Genomic DNA, 17,242 nt, shown 5'->3' with positions numbered 1-17,242 from the left:
ACATTTGTTCCTTTATAAGAAACCCACCCCCTAGATAATTATATTACTACATTCATGAGGGCAGAGCCCTCATGGCTTAATCACTTTTTAAAGGTCCTACTTTTTAATATTGTTACACTGGGGATTAAGTTTCCAACACATGCTTTCTGGTGGACACATTCAAACCACAGCAGACTCAGTTTTTCATTCGTACCTCTATTTTCTGAATTTGATTCTTCAAATTCTATCAAAAATTATATACAATTGCCTAGTATGTGCTCTTTGATTTTTATAATACATAAATATCTTTACTCATAACACATTTTCACTTAGAAAATTAGATTGGTTATTGAGGGTTTATTTTGTTTGTTTTGATAAAACTGATCTTAGGCCAGTAGCTTTCTTAAACCATAAAGATAAAATAAGAAATGTATAAGAATAAGTTCAAAGGTAGTTAAGTGCCTTCTCTCATATAAAATTTTGAGGAGAATTTACACTCAGCTCACAAATTTATCTATTAACAGAATTCATTTTGGTAGTCCTGCCATTCACTTAAAAAAAAAAAAACAATATAAGCTGTATAATATTCTGAAGCCAGTAGAAAAAGTTGAATGGAATATCCGTTTATCCTTGATTGTTGATGAAATAGCGACTTCAGGATGATTTTCTGGAAATACCTATTTATTACACTTAAGCATGTTTTCTTAGTTGGCTACATTCTTATTCATTCTGACACATGTCAAAGTGCATTTTACGATTTATTTTTTTCATTTAACAAATATTTTTTGAGTGTCTATTATGTATTCTAGTGATGGGAAATCCATAGTGAATAAAACAGACACAAATCCTAGCTCTTGTATAGCCTAATTTCTAATTGGGGGAAGACAGACTATGAACAAATAAATAAGTGAAACATATTGTGTGACAGATGGTGATAAGTTATATGGGAAAATATGCAGATAAAGAAAAGAGAGTTCTGGGATGGAAGTTTCATTTTTTAAGAATAAGGTGGTCAGGAAAGACCTCAATGAGAAAGTGGCATTTCAGCACAGAGCTGAAGGAGGTGAGGGAGCAGACCATGAGTTATCTCAGGAAAGAGCCTTCCAGGCAGGGAGAACAGCAGGTGCAAAGGCCCTGAGGTAGGTGTCTGCCTGGTATGTTCAAGGAAAAAGAGGAGGTCACTGTGACAGTAAAAGATCAAACCAGGAGGAAAGGAGTAGGACATGGAATTGGAAAGGTAAGAGGCCCTTTGTAGGTCATCTGAGGGTTTTACCTTTGAATGAGATGGGAAGCTATTGGAAGTTTTGAACAGAGGAGTGACAAGATTTTATTGTGACTTGAACATCAGTGGATGAGATACAGTGAGTTTGAGGTCACTTAAGTGATGACTTCTAGATAGCTGGATGTTTCATGGAGGTGGGTTAAGATTTCATGATTAAATTAAGTTTCGAGGAATTTTATAGTTTTGGCATTTTTTTCTGAAAAATATTAAGGAAGGAAGGATGGAAGGAGACAGGAGGGTGGCAAGGAGGGAAGAAGGGAGAGAACAAGACAGGAAAGAAAAAGGCGTAAAAAACAAAATGAAAGATAAAATATTGTCAAGACATTGAGAGCAGTAACTTTCATTATAACAACATAGTCCATTCTCCTGACAAACATGGTAAATTAAAACAGTCTAGGCCGGGTGCGGTGGCTCACGCCTGTAATCACAGCACTTTGGGAGGCTGAAGCGGGTGGATCACCTGAGGTCAGGAGTTCGAGACCAGCCTGGCCAACCTGGTGAAACCCCATCTCTACTACAAATGCAAAAATTAGCTGGGCGTGGTGGCGGGTGCCTGTAATCCTAGCTATGTGGGAGGCTGAGGGAGGAGAATCACTTGGACCTGGGAGGTGGAGGTTGCAGTAAGCTGACATTGCGCCATTTCACTCTAGCTTGGGCGACAAGAGGGAAACTCTGTCTCAAAAAAAAAAAAAAGTCTGGAGACAATATAGTGTGTTTATAGTCACAATAAATACACAATAATTCTTTGGTTTTGCTCACAGCTTTCCTTCAAGCTAGGACAAGCCCTGTTACCCTGTCAAACTGTTTACAAAGTGCACAAAATTTGTATTTGGAAACATTTTATTGGCATCTTGGGAAGTTCAATTAATTAAAATTTGTAAAGTACTTCAAGATGCTGAAGAACACAAGACTGACCTAAAAACAAGAAATTTCAGTTATTGCAAAAAAGTGCATCATTTCGGGCATCTGTTTTACTTTGTATATTATCTTAACAATAATTTATCCTGGTTACCATTATCAATAGATACTGTCTAAGAGGGAATCAGATAACCTGTTCTGAGGAGTAAAACAATAGTTTTGGAAAAGCTAATTATTGCATTGGTCTTTATTCAATTTGGCCCTGTTTCATTAGCAAAAAAAAAAAAAATTGATAAAAAATTCTTTAGAACAGCAGTTCTCAGTGTTCTACAGGCACCCTTGTTCAGAGGTGGGGGGTTCCAAGACCTTTTCAGGAGGTCTGGAAGGTCAAATCTCTAATCATAATAATACTGAGATGTGAGATGTTATTTTCCTTTTTCATTTTCATTTCTCTCATGAGTGTACAGTGGAGTTTTCCAGAGGTTATATGTGATATAACAGAGAGAATACAGGAGCAGATTTGAGAATCTAGCCTCTTCTATTAAACAAGGCATTAAGGATTTGCAAATATGTTAAAACGATGCCACTCTTCTCATTACATATTTTTAAAAATATAATTATTTTCATAATGTTATTTATGTTAATATGTGATGGGTTTATTATTATTTTAAACAAATAACTTCTAAATATGTGAAATGATCCTGACATCAAAAAGTCTGAGGAGCACTGCCTTAGAATGTGACTTCCAAGATAGCAGAGATATGTGTCTGTTTGGTATACCAATGCATCCCAAATATCAAAGATGATACCGGGCATATAGTAAGGGCTCAGTAAAGAAATACCTATTGACTGACTGAATGAATAAAATGTTATTAACATATTAGATTAGCTAATATTGAATATTGGCTTCTTTTTTTTTTTTTTAGAGTCTTGCCCTGTCGCCCAGGCTGGAGTGTAGTGGCACAATCTTGGCTCATAGCAACCTTCACCTCCTGGATTCAAGCAATTCTCCTGCCTCAGCCTCCCTAGTAGCTGGGATTACAAGCGTCCACCACCACGCCCAGCTAATTTTTGTATTTTTAGTAGAGACGGGGTTTCACCATGTAGCCAGGCTGGTCTTGAACTTCTTACCTCAAGGATCCGCCGGCCTCGGCCTTTCAAAGTGCTGGGATTACAGGTGTGAGCTACCGTGCCTAGCCTGCTAATATTGGCTTCTTAAGGGCCTGTAACAAATGGTAATGTTTGAGTTTGTTGAGGTTTTCATACATTAAGATAGAATTAATTTATGCAGGCATTACAACTATTTATGAAAATAATTCAGATTAAAGTGAAATAATCATTTATACTTCCATTTACCACCTCTCTACATTTATAGACTTCTAATATAAAAAATTATTGACAAGGCAGAACAATCTTCCAAAAAGAATTTACCTCAAAGGTGACTTGCCTTATTCAACTGAGGACATGTGGATCCTAAATGAGATGTCTGGGCCCAAAGGGTTAATGCCCCTAGACTCCATAATGTTAAACTGATGTGCACAAATAAAGCTCTATTTGAATACATATCACCATGAATGAACTAGAAGCACCTGACAACATATCCAACAACTGTGATTAGAGAGAAGAGACAGAAAGTAGGAAAATCAGGCTTGTAATCAGCAGGGAGTCCAATTAGCACATGCTTGGGGAATTAGAAGGAAATGATTTTTAAAAATACTTCTGATTTCTGATATCCTTAAAAACAAAACCAAGCACTAAAGCACTTTTTTTTTTTTTTCAAACTAGGTCTCATTCATCGCCCAGGCTGGAATGCAGTAGCGTGATCTCAGCTCACTTTAGCCTTGACCTCCTGGGCTCAAGCAATCCCCCCTCCCCCAAAGCTGGGACTACAGGCGCATGCTACCATGCCTGGTTAATTTTTGTATTTTTTGTAGAGATGGCGTTTTGCCATGTTACCACATTGCCAGGTTGGTCTCAAACTCCTGGACTCCAGCGATTCTCTTGCCTTGGCCTCCCAAAGTGCTGGGATTATAGGCATGAGCCACCATGCCTGGCCTAAATGAAGTACTATTGTATTATGTAGATAGAAGCAAAGCCAAGAGATCTAAATTGACTTGCAGAGACCTCACTTAGAGTGGATTATTCGTCCTATTATTTTCTTTATGGCAACTTATCAACAAATCTTTATTAAGTGACTACTATGTGCCAGGCTCTTTCTGGACGTTGAGGATTCAGTGGTCCCTGGCTCATGAAATTTATATTTCAGGGGAGGAAACAGGCAAGCAGTCAATAAATGATCAAGATAACTTCAGATATGATAAGCGCTAAATAAAAGAATAACACAGGCCACTATGTGAAAGAGAGATTCACTGAAGGATTGAAGTTAGGGAATAAGGTGAGGATTGCTGATTTAGACCTGGTGTTGGGGAGTCTCTCACTGAAGCAATGTCTCTCAGCTGACACCTGAAAGACAGAAAACCTGGCTAGCAGGGGCATGCCTGACTGAGAAAAGAGCAGTCACAGGCCTAAGGAGGAAAAGAGCTCGCTGTGTACTGGGAAGAAAAAGGTGGCTGGTGAAGTTGAAGCCTAGTGAGGATAAGGGTCTTGCATGGTGCAATCAGAAGTAGGCAAAAACTAGATCATGAAACGGCTTGAAGGAGTGTGAATTTTATTGTGAGTGCAACAGAAGCCAGTGGAGAGCTTGATCTGGTCACATGACCCATTTTGCATTTTTAAAAGAACCAGTCTGGCTGCTCTGTGGAGAATAGATTGTAGAGGAACAAGAGCAGACGCAAGGAGGCCTGTTAGCTGCTATCTGCCTGCCTAGGGGAGGGAAAGCAATGGCTTGGACTACACTGGGAGCAGCGAAGAAGTTGAGAAGTGGACAAATGTGGGATAGATTTGTTTAAAATAATGTAAATCTGCCCTGGTATGGCAGCTCACACCTGTAATCCAGCACTTCGGGAGGCCAAGGACTGCAGATCTCCTGAGGTCTGGAGTTCGAGACCAGCCCGGCCAACATGGTGAAACCCCATCTCTACTAAAAATACAAAAATTAGCTGAGCATGGTGGCAGTTGCCTGTAATCCCAACTACTCGGGAAGCTGAGGCAGGAAAATTGCTTGAACCCGGGAGGCGGAAGTTGCAGTGAGCCAAGATTGCGCCACTGCACTCTAGCCGGGGCGACAAGAGCAAAACTCCATCTCAAATAAATAAGATAAAATAAAATAAAATAGTGTAAATCTTGTCTGGCTCATAGGAGGAGTTTTAAAAATGGTAGCAGTTATTGCATTACTCCATTCGTAAACATGAATCTTGAAGGGATTCACGGATTTGTTCTAGCTCACAGGACTAGTAAATTAAGCCAGCGCACCATTCCCACCGCTACTAGGTACTGTTATGCTATCCACAAAATACTTTACCTGAGGTCTTTTTTCCTTCCAATCTTTTCTGCATGTAGCTGCCATTCTAATCTTCCTCAAACATTGCTTTCATCATGTTTACCTTGCTGATAAGCACATTATGTGTATTCATGTGGTTATTGAGTAATTGCAATGAACTAGGCTCTACAGGTGAGTGGGGTTCACACACCTGAGATACGGCTCTTGCCTCTAGGATTTTAGAATTTACTTGGGGAGACATGATTAACCCACATAAAACAATAGAGAAGGAGATAAAAAAGAGGCAGCATAATCAACAAAGCATTCATGGAGAAAATAGGTCTTATTCTAAATCTTGAATGAGAGAGAATTGTAGCAAACAGAAAGACAAAAAGGTGCTGGGTGAGAAAAGGAGCAGAGACATAAATAAAATATCCAATTTTAAGGGTATAGAGAGGGGATTCACTCAAGGAGGGGAGACCATCTATCTGCTTTGAGAAGCTGGGAAACAAAGTCATAGGGTCAGGATGGTGCCTGACTATGGATGCTCTCAAAAGCTAGGCACCAAGGATTTGGACTGGATTCAGCTGGATATAAGAAGTTATTACAGACTTGGAAGCAAGATTAAGTCTCCGGGAAGGGGAGACTTAACTGGGACCAGAGATCATTTTCCCCTATAATTTTAAAGGTACTTATCATCTTTAGGTACTCATTAGGTACTTAGCTTGTAACTCTTTCCACTGTTCAAATATATACCCAGTATGCATGTAGCCTATATGGAGCAGGCACAGAGTAAATGTTTGATGATGATAAAAGACATGCGGAAGAAAGGTTAATTTGGCAACATCATAAAACTGAATTGAGACAAAGAAAGCCAGGAGGTAGGAAAGTCAATGAAGAAGTTATTCCAGAAATGTAGCTGAGAAGGAAGGAATACAGAAGAGGCAGATATGGGAAAATACTCAGGAAGTATAATTAAAAGGAGCTGTGACTAATTTTAATAAGGACTGGGTTAAAAATTAAGTTTTCATGTCTAAATGTTCTGGAGGACCATGATGTCACTCAGGTAAGATGGAGGAATTGAGAGAGGGAATTCGTTAGAGGGAATAACATGGGGAATTTGGCTTTGGACAGGCATTTGCCATGATAACAGAATATTCATTTAGAAATGGTCCAGGAAATTGGTTTGATGAGAATGAAGTGCCTGTGAAGAGAGAGGACTGAAGCTTGTTATAATTTCATTCACTTCAGGAATATTTACAGAGGACCCAAATGTGCTAAGAACTATGAAAACATAGAATTAAAAGAAATGGGCCTGGAATAATTTACAACCTAGTAAAGCAGTTATGGGAAAACATATTTGCAAAAAAGGTATACAAAGTATAATGAAATAAGTGTCCAGTAAGGATAAAGTGCAGAGTAAGTGAATTAAGCAGCACCCATTCATGTGTTCAAATTCCTGCCAGAGTCAAAAGGTTGTGCTGAAGTAGAGTCCATGAAAGCATCGTAGATGGCTCCTCCTGCTCAAGTTCCCCTGCTCTGCGTCCTGCTACTCTGGCCACAACCGTCTGGACCCAGGGTTGACACACAAACAAACACAATAATCTTTTAGCCAGACATAAAGAAGGCCAGCCACCAATCAGGAAAATTGTGTCCCATAAAGGCCCTTCCTATTGAACAGTGAATGACAGACATGGCCAGATCTTCTCTCTTGGAATGCTTTGAATGTTAGTCACAGAGAGTGACCACTAGAAGCACAGATAGCAGTAGAAGCTAAGACTACATGAAAAAGCAGTGGACAGATGGTGATTTATGAGAATGGCAAAATTACTAGAGTCATAGGCAATGGATACTTGTTAATGAAGGGATGAGCAGGGCCCCACAGCCTGTTGCTGGCTCACAAGTGCAGTTGATTGCTGGACTGAACAGCAGCTCTCCGCCTGATGATAGGGTTTTTTAAAGTGTCCTTATTGCCTTAAAGTAAATCCTCAGCATTTGCAGTGCTCTGAGGGTGTCCTAGCATTTTATACCTTTTTTCTAAGAGCCCAGGTAACATAAGGGTACTCCTGTTGTTCTGGCTTTAATTCTATCTGCAGAAGAGGGTTTCTTGTGAAAGAAAGGGTCAGTATGGTCTTTTATCTGTACAGCAGATAAAAAGGGTATGTACGTGCACACCTTTGTACGTGGCTGCCTTCCCAGGACAGTCTGACAGTAGAGGGTAGAAACTTCAGTTGTAGCTGAGAGCAGGCCTGGAATCCCCATGCTTATACTTTTTATTTCCTCCCCCCTTTCCCATTGTGATCACAGGCTACTTCAGTGTGCTTGTCCTTGGAGAGAGCAAGGGAAGGGAGAGCCAGGGAGACTGTTCAAGGGAGCCACCAGGCTCGAGAAAGAGGAACCCCTGAAGACAGTAGAAAGTGCAGGTGCCAAGAATTTGAATATCTACATCAGAGTTTCTCAATGTGCACACAGTGAACTACCAGTTTAGGATCATTTGATTTGCTAAAAATGAAGATTACTGGTCTACCTTAGACCAACTGAATAAAATATCTGGGTGAGGGGCCTAGGAACTTGCATTTTTGGTAGGCATGGCAGGTGATTCCTAAAGCATTTACCCTTGAGACCTCTATGTTAAGGAAAGAAAGGTAATGTTGCAAGGAGGTGGTGCCGGCTTCTAAGAAAGTACCCAGGACTGAACGGCAGAAAGACCTGACATACCATATGTATAAATTGCTGTGGAAGTGAAAAGGAAAGAGAAAGTGTCTGAGGTAAAACTGGAGTGTGGGGTGCGTGGAACAAATGGTTGGATGCAGATTTGCTTTACGAATCATGAGCCTAGATGATAACTGAGACCATGTGGATGGATTAGGTTTCTGCTAATGCCAGAATTTTTATAATCAGCATAAAAGTGCTATATAAAGCTTTCCCCTCTTCTATATTATAGTCCTTTTAAGATGTATGGAACATCAACTATAGGAAGAACATCATATTCACAGCTGTAAGAGGAAACAAGAACTTATCATGCACTTGATGTTGTACAAAATAAATCTGTGATTTATGCTTGAGTGACCACAAAGTAGCATACACATAAGCGCAAATTCATTCATTTAAGAATTCCTTGTGTCTATTATGTACGAGATAAGTATCTCTGAGCTGCACGGAATGTGGCTTATCAGAAGGTGACCTAAGTTTCAAAGCAGATTTTGTTAAGATGAAGACAGAGATTGACAGGAGGTTTAAGACACTCTGTCTAAAGTAAAGATTTAGAGTCACAGAGTTCATGGATTAGGATTTAGAATCCACAGAGGGTCCACAGATTCACTCATTCAACATTCCATAAATATTTATTGAATGCCTTTTTGTGTCAGAGACTGTCTTAGGTGCTGGAAATTTAGCAGTAAATGAAACAGACCAAAACCCATGCCCTCATGGAGCTTACATTCTGATGGTAGAGAGACAAGAAAACAAAATAGATAGTGTATTATTGAAGGTGATGAGAGCTCTGGAGAAAAAGTAGGAAAAGAGACAGATCTGGGACAAGGGCGAAATTACAGTATCAAAGATGATCTTTTTAGGGAAGATCTCCTTTTAAAAACACTTTGGAACAAAGATTTAAATGAGGTGCCAGAGGGGTAGCAAGTGCATATTCCCTGAGGAAGACGCCTGCCTGGCATTTTCAAGGAACAGCCAGTAACCAATGTTTATCTACGTAAGTAAGGAAGGGAGAACAGTAGGATGAGAGTTCAGAGAAGAGGGTAGGGGATATCAAATAATTTAAGGCCATGTAGGATTTTTGAGAAGAATTTTGCTTTTATGTCAAGTGGAATGAGGGCCACTGATGATCTGGGAGTAGAGTGACTATGATCCGACATGAAGTATACTCCATTTTTTAACTATGTGAACTTGTGCCAACGTTTTAACCTCTAAATCTGTTTCGTCATTTGTAAAACGGTAAAAAGTATTTTACCTCATAAGGTTGTCGTGATGATTAAATAAGATGATACGATAAGTGCAAAAGATTTAGCTTGTACTTAACATAGAGTAGGCACATTTTCTCCCCTTCCCTGTCTTTCACTTTTCTCTTCTGCCCCTTCCACCTGGCGCTAGGAGGGGGAGACTGGAATAAACCTTGCAGATTACAGCCCGTGTAAGAGTAGAAAGGAAAGGATGACAGTTGATGTAAAGCCTTGGTTAACAGACATAATAGCTGGGATTTAAATTCAGCTTTATTGGTGGTTTATGATGTGGACTAGAGGAATGGAACTGAAAGTCTCGGAGGAGGGGCGATCCTATCAGGTACAGGCGCTGCTTTTCCAGCCCTCAATCCTCAAGACTCTCCCAAGATACATTTCTAGGTAGTTTATCAACACAGACTCCGGGTATGCTAGCATGTTTAATTGCCCCATTGTTTAATGTCTTAACTCCACGAACTTTAACTGATTAATCTGTCTTCTAATTAATGTTTGAATGACTCTCCTCAGGTCTAAACTACCAAGGCCATCTCTACTTAAAAACAGTTGTCTTTTGTTTGTGATTTCAGGGGCCCTGGGTATAAGCGAAGTCCCTGTTTAGAGACCTTGTGATGGGTTCAAAATATCAAGAAAGATAGCAAAATATCACAAGCCTCCTGACCCGAGAAGATTAGCGTTGAAAGGGTCTGTCGTGTTTGTTTGGGCCTGGGGCTAAATTCCCAGCCCAAGTGCTGAGGCTGATAATAATCGGGGCGGCGATCAGACAGCCCCGGTGTGGGAAATCGTCCGCCCGGTCTCCCTAAGTCCCCGAAGTCGCCTCCCACTTTTGGTGACTGCTTGTTTATTTACATGCAGTCAATGATAGTAAATGGATGCGCGCCAGTATAGGCCGACCCTGAGGGTGGCGGGGTGCTCTTCGCAGCTTCTCTGTGGAGACCGGTCAGCGGGGCGGCGTGGCCGCTCGCGGCGTCTCCCTGGTGGCATCCGCACAGCCCGCCGCGGTCCGGTCCCGCTCCGGGTCAGAATTGGCGGCTGCGGGGACAGCCTTGCGGCTAGGCAGGGGGCGGGCCGCCGCGTGGGTCCGGCAGTCCCTCCTCCCGCCAAGGCGCCGCCCAGACCCGCTCTCCAGCCGGCCCGGCTCGCCACCCTAGACCGCCCCAGCCACCCCTTCCTCCGCCGGCCCGGCCCCCGCTCCTCCCCCGCCGGCCCGGCCCGGCCCCCTCCTTCTCCCCGCCGGCGCTCGCTGCCTCCCCCTCTTCCCTCTTCCCACACCGCCCTCAGCCGCTCCCTCTCGTACGCCCGTCTGAAGAAGAATCGAGCGCGGAACGCATCGATAGCTCTGCCCTCTGCGGCCGCCCGGCCCCGAACTCATCGGTGTGCTCGGAGCTCGATTTTCCTAGGCGGCGGCCGCGGCGGCGGAGGCAGCAGCGGCGGCGGCAGTGGCGGCGGCGAAGGTGGCGGCGGCTCGGCCAGTACTCCCGGCCCCCGCCATTTCGGACTGGGAGCGAGCGCGGCGCAGGCACTGAAGGCGGCGGCGGGGCCAGAGGCTCAGCGGCTCCCAGGTGCGGGAGAGAGGTACGGAGCGGACCACCCCTCCTGGGCCCCTGCCCGGGTCCCGACCCTCTTTGCCGGCGCCGGGCGGGGCCGGCGGCGAGTGAATGAATTAGGGGTCCCCGGAGGGGCGGGTGGGGGGCGCGGGCGCGGGGTCGGGGCGGGCTGGGTGAGAGGGGTCTGCAGGGGGGAGGCGCGCGGACGCGGCGGCGCGGGGAGTGAGGAATGGGCGGTGCGGGGCTGAGGAGGGTGAGGCTGGAGGCGGTCGCCGCTGGTGCTGCTTCCTGGACGGGGAACCCCTTCCTTCCTCCTCCCCGAGAGCCGCGGCTGGAGGCTTCTGGGGAGAAACTCGGGCCGGGCCGGCTGCCCCTCGGAGCGGTGGGGTGCGGTGGAGGTTACTCCCGCGGCGCCCCGGCCTCCCCTCCCCCTCTCCCCGCTCCCGCACCTCTTGCCTCCCTTTCCAGCACTCGGCTGCCTCGGTCCAGCCTTCCCTGCTGCATTTGGCATCTCTAGGACGAAGGTATAAACTTCTCCCTCGAGCGCAGGCTGGACGGATAGTGGTCCTTTTCCGTGTGTAGGGGATGTGTGAGTAAGAGGGGAGGTCACGTTTTGGAAGAGCATAGGAAAGTGCTTAGAGACCACTGTTTGAGGTTATTGTGTTTGGAAAAAAATGCATCTGCCTCCGAGTTCCTGAATGCTCCCCTCCCCCATGTATGGGCTGTGACATTGCTGTGGCCACAAAGGAGGAGGTGGAGGTAGAGATGGTGGAAGAACAGGTGGCCAACACCCTACACGTAGAGCCTGTGACCTACAGTGAAAAGGAAAAAGTTAATCCCAGATGGTCTGTTTTGCTTGGTCAAGTTAAACCCGAAGAAAACCCGCAGAGCAGAAGCAAGGCTTTTTCCTTGCTAGTTGAGTGTAGACAGCAATAGCAAAAATAGTACTTGAAGTTTAATTTACCTGTTCTTGTCCTTTCCCCTATTTCTTATGTATTACCCTCATCCCCTCGTCTCTTTTATACTACCCTCATTTTGCAGATGTGTTCTACATCTCAAGAGTTATTACAGTACTCCAAAACAGCACTTACATGATTTTTTAAACTTACAGAGGAATTGTAGCAATCCACCAGCTAACCGCCTGAAATAGACTTAAACATGTGCATCTCCTTTTTTTTTTTTTTTTTGAGACACAGTCTCGCTCTGTTGCCCAGGCTGGAGTGCAATGGCGCGGTATCGGCTCACTGAAACCTCCGCCTCCTGGGTTCAAGCAATTCTCCTGCCTCAGCCTCCCGAGTAGCTGGGACTAGTAGGTGCACGCCACCATGCCCAGCTAATTTTTGTATTTTTAGTAGAGACAGAGTTTCATCATGTTGGTCAGGATGGTCTCCATCTGCTCTGTTGCCCAGGCTGGAGTGCAGTGGCGCCGTCTCGGCTCACTGCAACCTCTGCCTCCTGCATTCAAGCAATTCTCCTGCCTCAGCCTCCCGAATAACTGGGATTACAGGTGTCTGCTGCCATGCCCGGCTAATTTTTTGTATTTTTAGTAGAGACGGGGGTTTCACCATGTTGGTCAGGCTGGTCTAGAACTCCTGACCTCGTGATCTGCCCGCCTCGGCCTCCCACAGTGGCATGTGCATCTTATAGCTGAAGTCTAAGCCTTCTTAAATCTTGAGATCCATCAAAACAGACAGGTTTTCTAATTGTTATACAATGTATATGTTATGTTTATAATAGAAATCATTTTACAAATAAGTTATAAATGGGAAAGGTCTATTTGTAATTATCAGCTCAGAATTAACCATAAAACTGGTGTCACTGAAGTGACTGAGGTCCAAAATGCTGACTCTGCATGTTATAGACTACAGATATCAAATATGGTTGCTAACAATAGTTTACTTTGAGACTGTAGCCATCCACAGTATATTTGCTTTTAAGAGATGGTAGATGGTAATTCAGTTTTATGAAAAATAAAAATGAATTTTCTTCCATTACAAAATTGTTGGATTCGAGTCCAGTCCACTCCTTACTAGCTTTTCTAACTCTCGGTGAGGGATCCCCTCCCAGCCCATGATCTTCATTTGGTAAGACTCCTTTGGAACCCAGTTCTCTCTAGTGGATTTAAATGTGATTTGGTTTTAAAAATCTCATTCAAGGAATTTTTTTTTTTTCTGGAAACAACCACCGCATAAACAAGTAAACCGGAAGATACATGTGGCTCTGAATTCATATATATACACAAACTCTAATCCAATGTCTGTCCACAGTATTTCCTAGGCTAGTAAACTTTTTGGCCTTAACGACCCCTCTACCCTCTTTGTTTTTTTGAGAGAGAGAGTCTCACTCTGTCACCCAGGCCGGAATGCAGTGGCGCGATCTCGGCCCGCTACTACCTCCGACTCTCAGGCTCAAGCGATTCTCCCGCCTCAGCTTCCCGAGTAGCCGGGATTACAGGCTCCCGCCACCGGGCTAATTGTATTTTTAGATACGGGATTTCACCATGTTGGCCAGGCTGGTCTCGACCTCCTGACCTCAGGTGATCCGCCCGCCTAAGCCTCCCAAAGTGCTGGGATTACAGGCCACCACACCCGGCCTACACTCTTAAAAATTATCGAAGGGGCCGGGCACATTGGCTCTTATCTGTAATCCCAGCACTTTGGGAGACTGAGGCGGGAGGATCGCTTGAGGCCAGGAGTTGGAGACCAGCGTACTCAACATAGTGAGACCTTGTTATAAAGAAAAAAAAAATCCAGGATTAAAAAAAATCTTTGATTTGTTTGGGATTTATTAATATTTACCGTATTGGAAATTAAAACAATTTTTTAAAATGTATTCATTTAAAAATAATAAGCCCATTACTTGGTAACATGAATAAAATATTTTATGAAAAATAACTATTTTCCAAAACAAAACCAAAACTTAGAAAAGTGGTATTGTTTCACACTTCAGTAAATCTCTTTAATGATGTGGCTTAATAGAAGATATGGATTCTTATATCTGCATCTGCATTCAATCTATTATGATCACACATCTGGAAAACTTGTGAAAGAATGGGAGTTAAAAGGGTAAAGGACATCTTAATGTTATTATGAAAACAGTTTTGACCTCTTGCACACCAGAAAAGTCTTAGTAACCTGAGGGGTTCCTAGACCACATTTTGAGAACTGTTTTAGGCTATGCAAACTGGTTGGGGGGAGGTTGGGGTAGGCAGAGAGCTAGAAGATACATTTTAGTGTAATTCTCCTCATCTATTCCTAATTGCTTTGGCCTACATTTGAAATAAAGCGTGGAGGCAAACGGGATAAGATACATGTTTGTAGTGGTTGTTAACTTCACCCTAGACAAGCAGCCAATAAGTCTAGGTAGAGCAGAGTAAGGCGGGGAACTATGCCGTGACCGTGTGTGATACAATTTTTCTAGCCTGTGGTGCTTTTTGCGGCAGGGCTTAGGAGTAAGGTTAGTATGTTATCATTTGGGAAACCAAATTATTATTTTGGGTCTTCAGTCAATTATGATGCTGTGTATATTTAGTGTTTATCTACAATATATGCACATTCATTAATTTGGAGCTACTCATCCTATAATAAATAGTTGTGCATTTACTCCCATTTTTTTCTGCATTTCTCTCCTTATTTATAATTATGTGTTACATGAGGGAAAGGAGGTGAAATTAAACATTCATATTATTTCAAAAAATTTGAAACAACTAACTAAAAAATATGTTTTATTTTCTGTATGGTGTTTGTTATACAATCTGTCAATATTCATGCACCTCTTGGGAGACAGTGTATGAAAAGCAAAGAGTAACAGTCACATGGATTACTGATTACTGAGATATATTCACTTGCATCTTTTTTTTTTTTTGAGACGGAGTGGCTCTGTCGCCCAGGCTGGAGTGCAGTGGCGTGATCTCGGCTCACTGCAAGCTCCGCCTCCTGGGTTCACGCCATTCTTCTGCCTCAGCCTCCCAAGTAGCTGGGACTACAGGCGCCCGCCACCACGCCCGGCTAATTTTTTTATATTTTTAGTAGAGACGGGGTTTCACCGGGTTAGCCAGGATGGTCTTGATCTCCTGACCTCGTGATCCACCCTCCTCGGCCTCCCAAAGTGCTAGGATTATAGGCGTGAGCCACCGTGCCCGGCTCACTTGCATCTCTTAACAGCTGTTTTCTTACTAAAAACAGTGTTTATCTCTAATCTTTTTGTTTGTTTGTTTGTTTTGAGATGGAGTCTTACTCCGTCACCCAATCTGGAGTGCAGTGGCGTGATCTGGGCTCACTGCAACCTCTGCCTCCCGGGTTCAAGTGATTCTCCTTCCTCAGCCTCCCCAGTAGCTAGGACTACAGGAGAGCGCCACCACGCCTGATTAATTTTTGTATTTTTAGTAGAGAGAGGGTTTCACCATATTGGCCAGGCTGGTCTTGAACTCCTGGCCTCAGGTGATCCACCCGCCTTGGCCTCTGAAAGTGCTGGGATTACAGGCATGAGCCGCCGCACCCGGCTTTCTAATCTTTATCTTTTTTTGTGCAGCGGTGATACAGGATTATGTATTGTACTGAACAGTTAATTCGGAGTTCTCTTGGTTTTTAGCTTTATTTTCCCCAGAGATTTTTTTTTTTTTTTTTTTTTTTGAGACGGAGTCTTGCTCTATCGCCAGGCTGGAGTGCAGTGGCGCCATCTCGGCTCATTGCAACCTCGGACTCCTATTTTCCCCAGAGATATTTCACACATTAAAATGTCGTCAAATATTGTTCTTCTTTGCCTCAGTGTTTAAATTTTTATTTCCCCATGACACAATCCAGCTTTATTTGACACTCATTCTCTCAACTCTCATCTGATTCTTACTGTTAATATTTATCCAAGAGAACTACTGCCATGATGCTTTAAAAGTTTTTCTGTAGCTGTTGCATATTGACTTCTAACACTTAGAGGTGGGGGTCCACTAGGAAAACTGTAACAATAAGAGTGGAGATAGCTGTCAGCAACTTTTGTGAGGGTGTGCTACAGGGTGTAGAGCACTGTGAAGTCTCTACATGAGTGAAGTCATGATATGATCCTTTGAGAGCCTTTAGCCGCCGCAGAACAGCAGTCTGGCTATTTAGATAGAACAACTTGATTTTAAGATAAAAGAACTGTCTATGTAGCATTTATGCATTTTTCTTAAGCGTCGATGGAGGAGTTTGTAAATGAAGTACAGTTCATTACGATACACGTCTGCAGTCAACTGGAATTTTCATGATTGAATTTTGTAAGGTATTTTGAAATAATTTTTCATATAAAGGTGAGTTTGTATTAAAAGGTACTGGTGGAGTATTTGATAGTGTATTAACCTTATGTGTGACATGTTCTAATATAGTCACATTTTCATTATTTTTATTATAAGGCCTGCTGAAAATGACTGAATATAAACTTGTGGTAGTTGGAGCTGGTGGCGTAGGCAAGAGTGCCTTGACGATACAGCTAATTCAGAATCATTTTGTGGACGAATATGATCCAACAATAGAGGTAAATCTTGTTTTAATATGCATATTACTGGTGCAGGACCATTCTTTGATACAGATAAAGGTTTCTCTGACCATTTTCATGAGTACTTATTACAAGATAATTATGCTGAAAGTTAAGTTATCTGAAATGTACCTTGGGTTTCAAGTTATATGTAACCATTAATATGGGAACTTTACTTTCCTTGGGAGTATGTCAGGGTCCATGATGTTCACTCTCTGTGCATTTTGATTGGAAGTGTATTTCAGAGTTTCGTGAGAGGGTAGAAATTTGTATCCTATCTGGACCTAAAAGACAATCTTTTTATTGTAACTTTTATTTTTATGGGTTTCTTGGTATTGTGACATCATATGTAAAGGTTAGATTTAATTGTACTAGTGAAATATAATTGTTTGATGGTTGATTTTTTTAAACTTCATCAGCAGTATTTTCCTATCTTCTTCTCAACATTAGAGAACCTACAACTACCGGATAAATTTTACAAAATGAATTATTTGCCTAAGGTGTGGTTTATATAAAGGTACTATTACCAACTTTACCTTTGCTTTGTTGTCATTTTTAAATTTACTCAAGGAAATACTAGGATTTAAAAAAAAATTCCTTGAGTAAATTTAAATTGTTATCATGTTTTTGAGGATTATTTTCAGATTTTTTTAGTTTAATGAAAATTTACCAAAGTAAAGACCAGCAGCAGAATGATAAGTAAAGACCTGTAAGACACCTT

The 17,242-nt window shown here is 42.6% G+C and overlaps 1 protein-coding gene across 5 annotated transcripts in view, besides 2 other annotated features; it reads left to right on the top strand.

Annotated features, from left to right (window-relative positions):
- Window positions 10,306-11,155: a silencer, noted in NCBI's record as "silent region_4294". NCBI's record gives its function as "represses an Ori minimal core promoter by ATAC-STARR-seq in GM12878 lymphoblastoid cells {active_cell/tissue: GM12878}" and the evidence as "EXISTENCE:reporter gene assay evidence [ECO:0000049][PMID:35858748]".
- The window catches only part of KRAS (KRAS proto-oncogene, GTPase), a 45,684-nt gene continuing 39,307 nt past the window's right edge, over window positions 10,866-17,242 (top strand). For 3 of the 5 annotated variants that reach the window (NM_001369787.1, XM_047428826.1, NM_001369786.1), the window contains exons 1-2: window positions 10,866-11,031; window positions 16,400-16,521. In NM_001369787.1, coding sequence (NP_001356716.1) covers window positions 16,411-16,521 — 111 coding nt within the window. In that variant the 5' untranslated portion in view covers window positions 10,866-11,031; window positions 16,400-16,410. Of the gene's footprint in view, window positions 11,045-16,399; window positions 16,522-17,242 lie in introns of all 5 variants that reach the window. The other 2 variants (NM_004985.5, NM_033360.4) reach the window with 1 other exon arrangement.
- Window positions 11,216-11,265: a silencer, noted in NCBI's record as "silent region_4293". NCBI's record gives its function as "represses an Ori minimal core promoter by ATAC-STARR-seq in GM12878 lymphoblastoid cells {active_cell/tissue: GM12878}" and the evidence as "EXISTENCE:reporter gene assay evidence [ECO:0000049][PMID:35858748]".

Source organism: Homo sapiens, chromosome 12 (assembly GCF_000001405.40).
Source record: "Homo sapiens chromosome 12, GRCh38.p14 Primary Assembly".
Classification (NCBI taxonomy): domain Eukaryota; kingdom Metazoa; phylum Chordata; class Mammalia; order Primates; family Hominidae; genus Homo; species Homo sapiens.
This window is presented reverse-complemented; position numbering and strand designations above follow the sequence as displayed.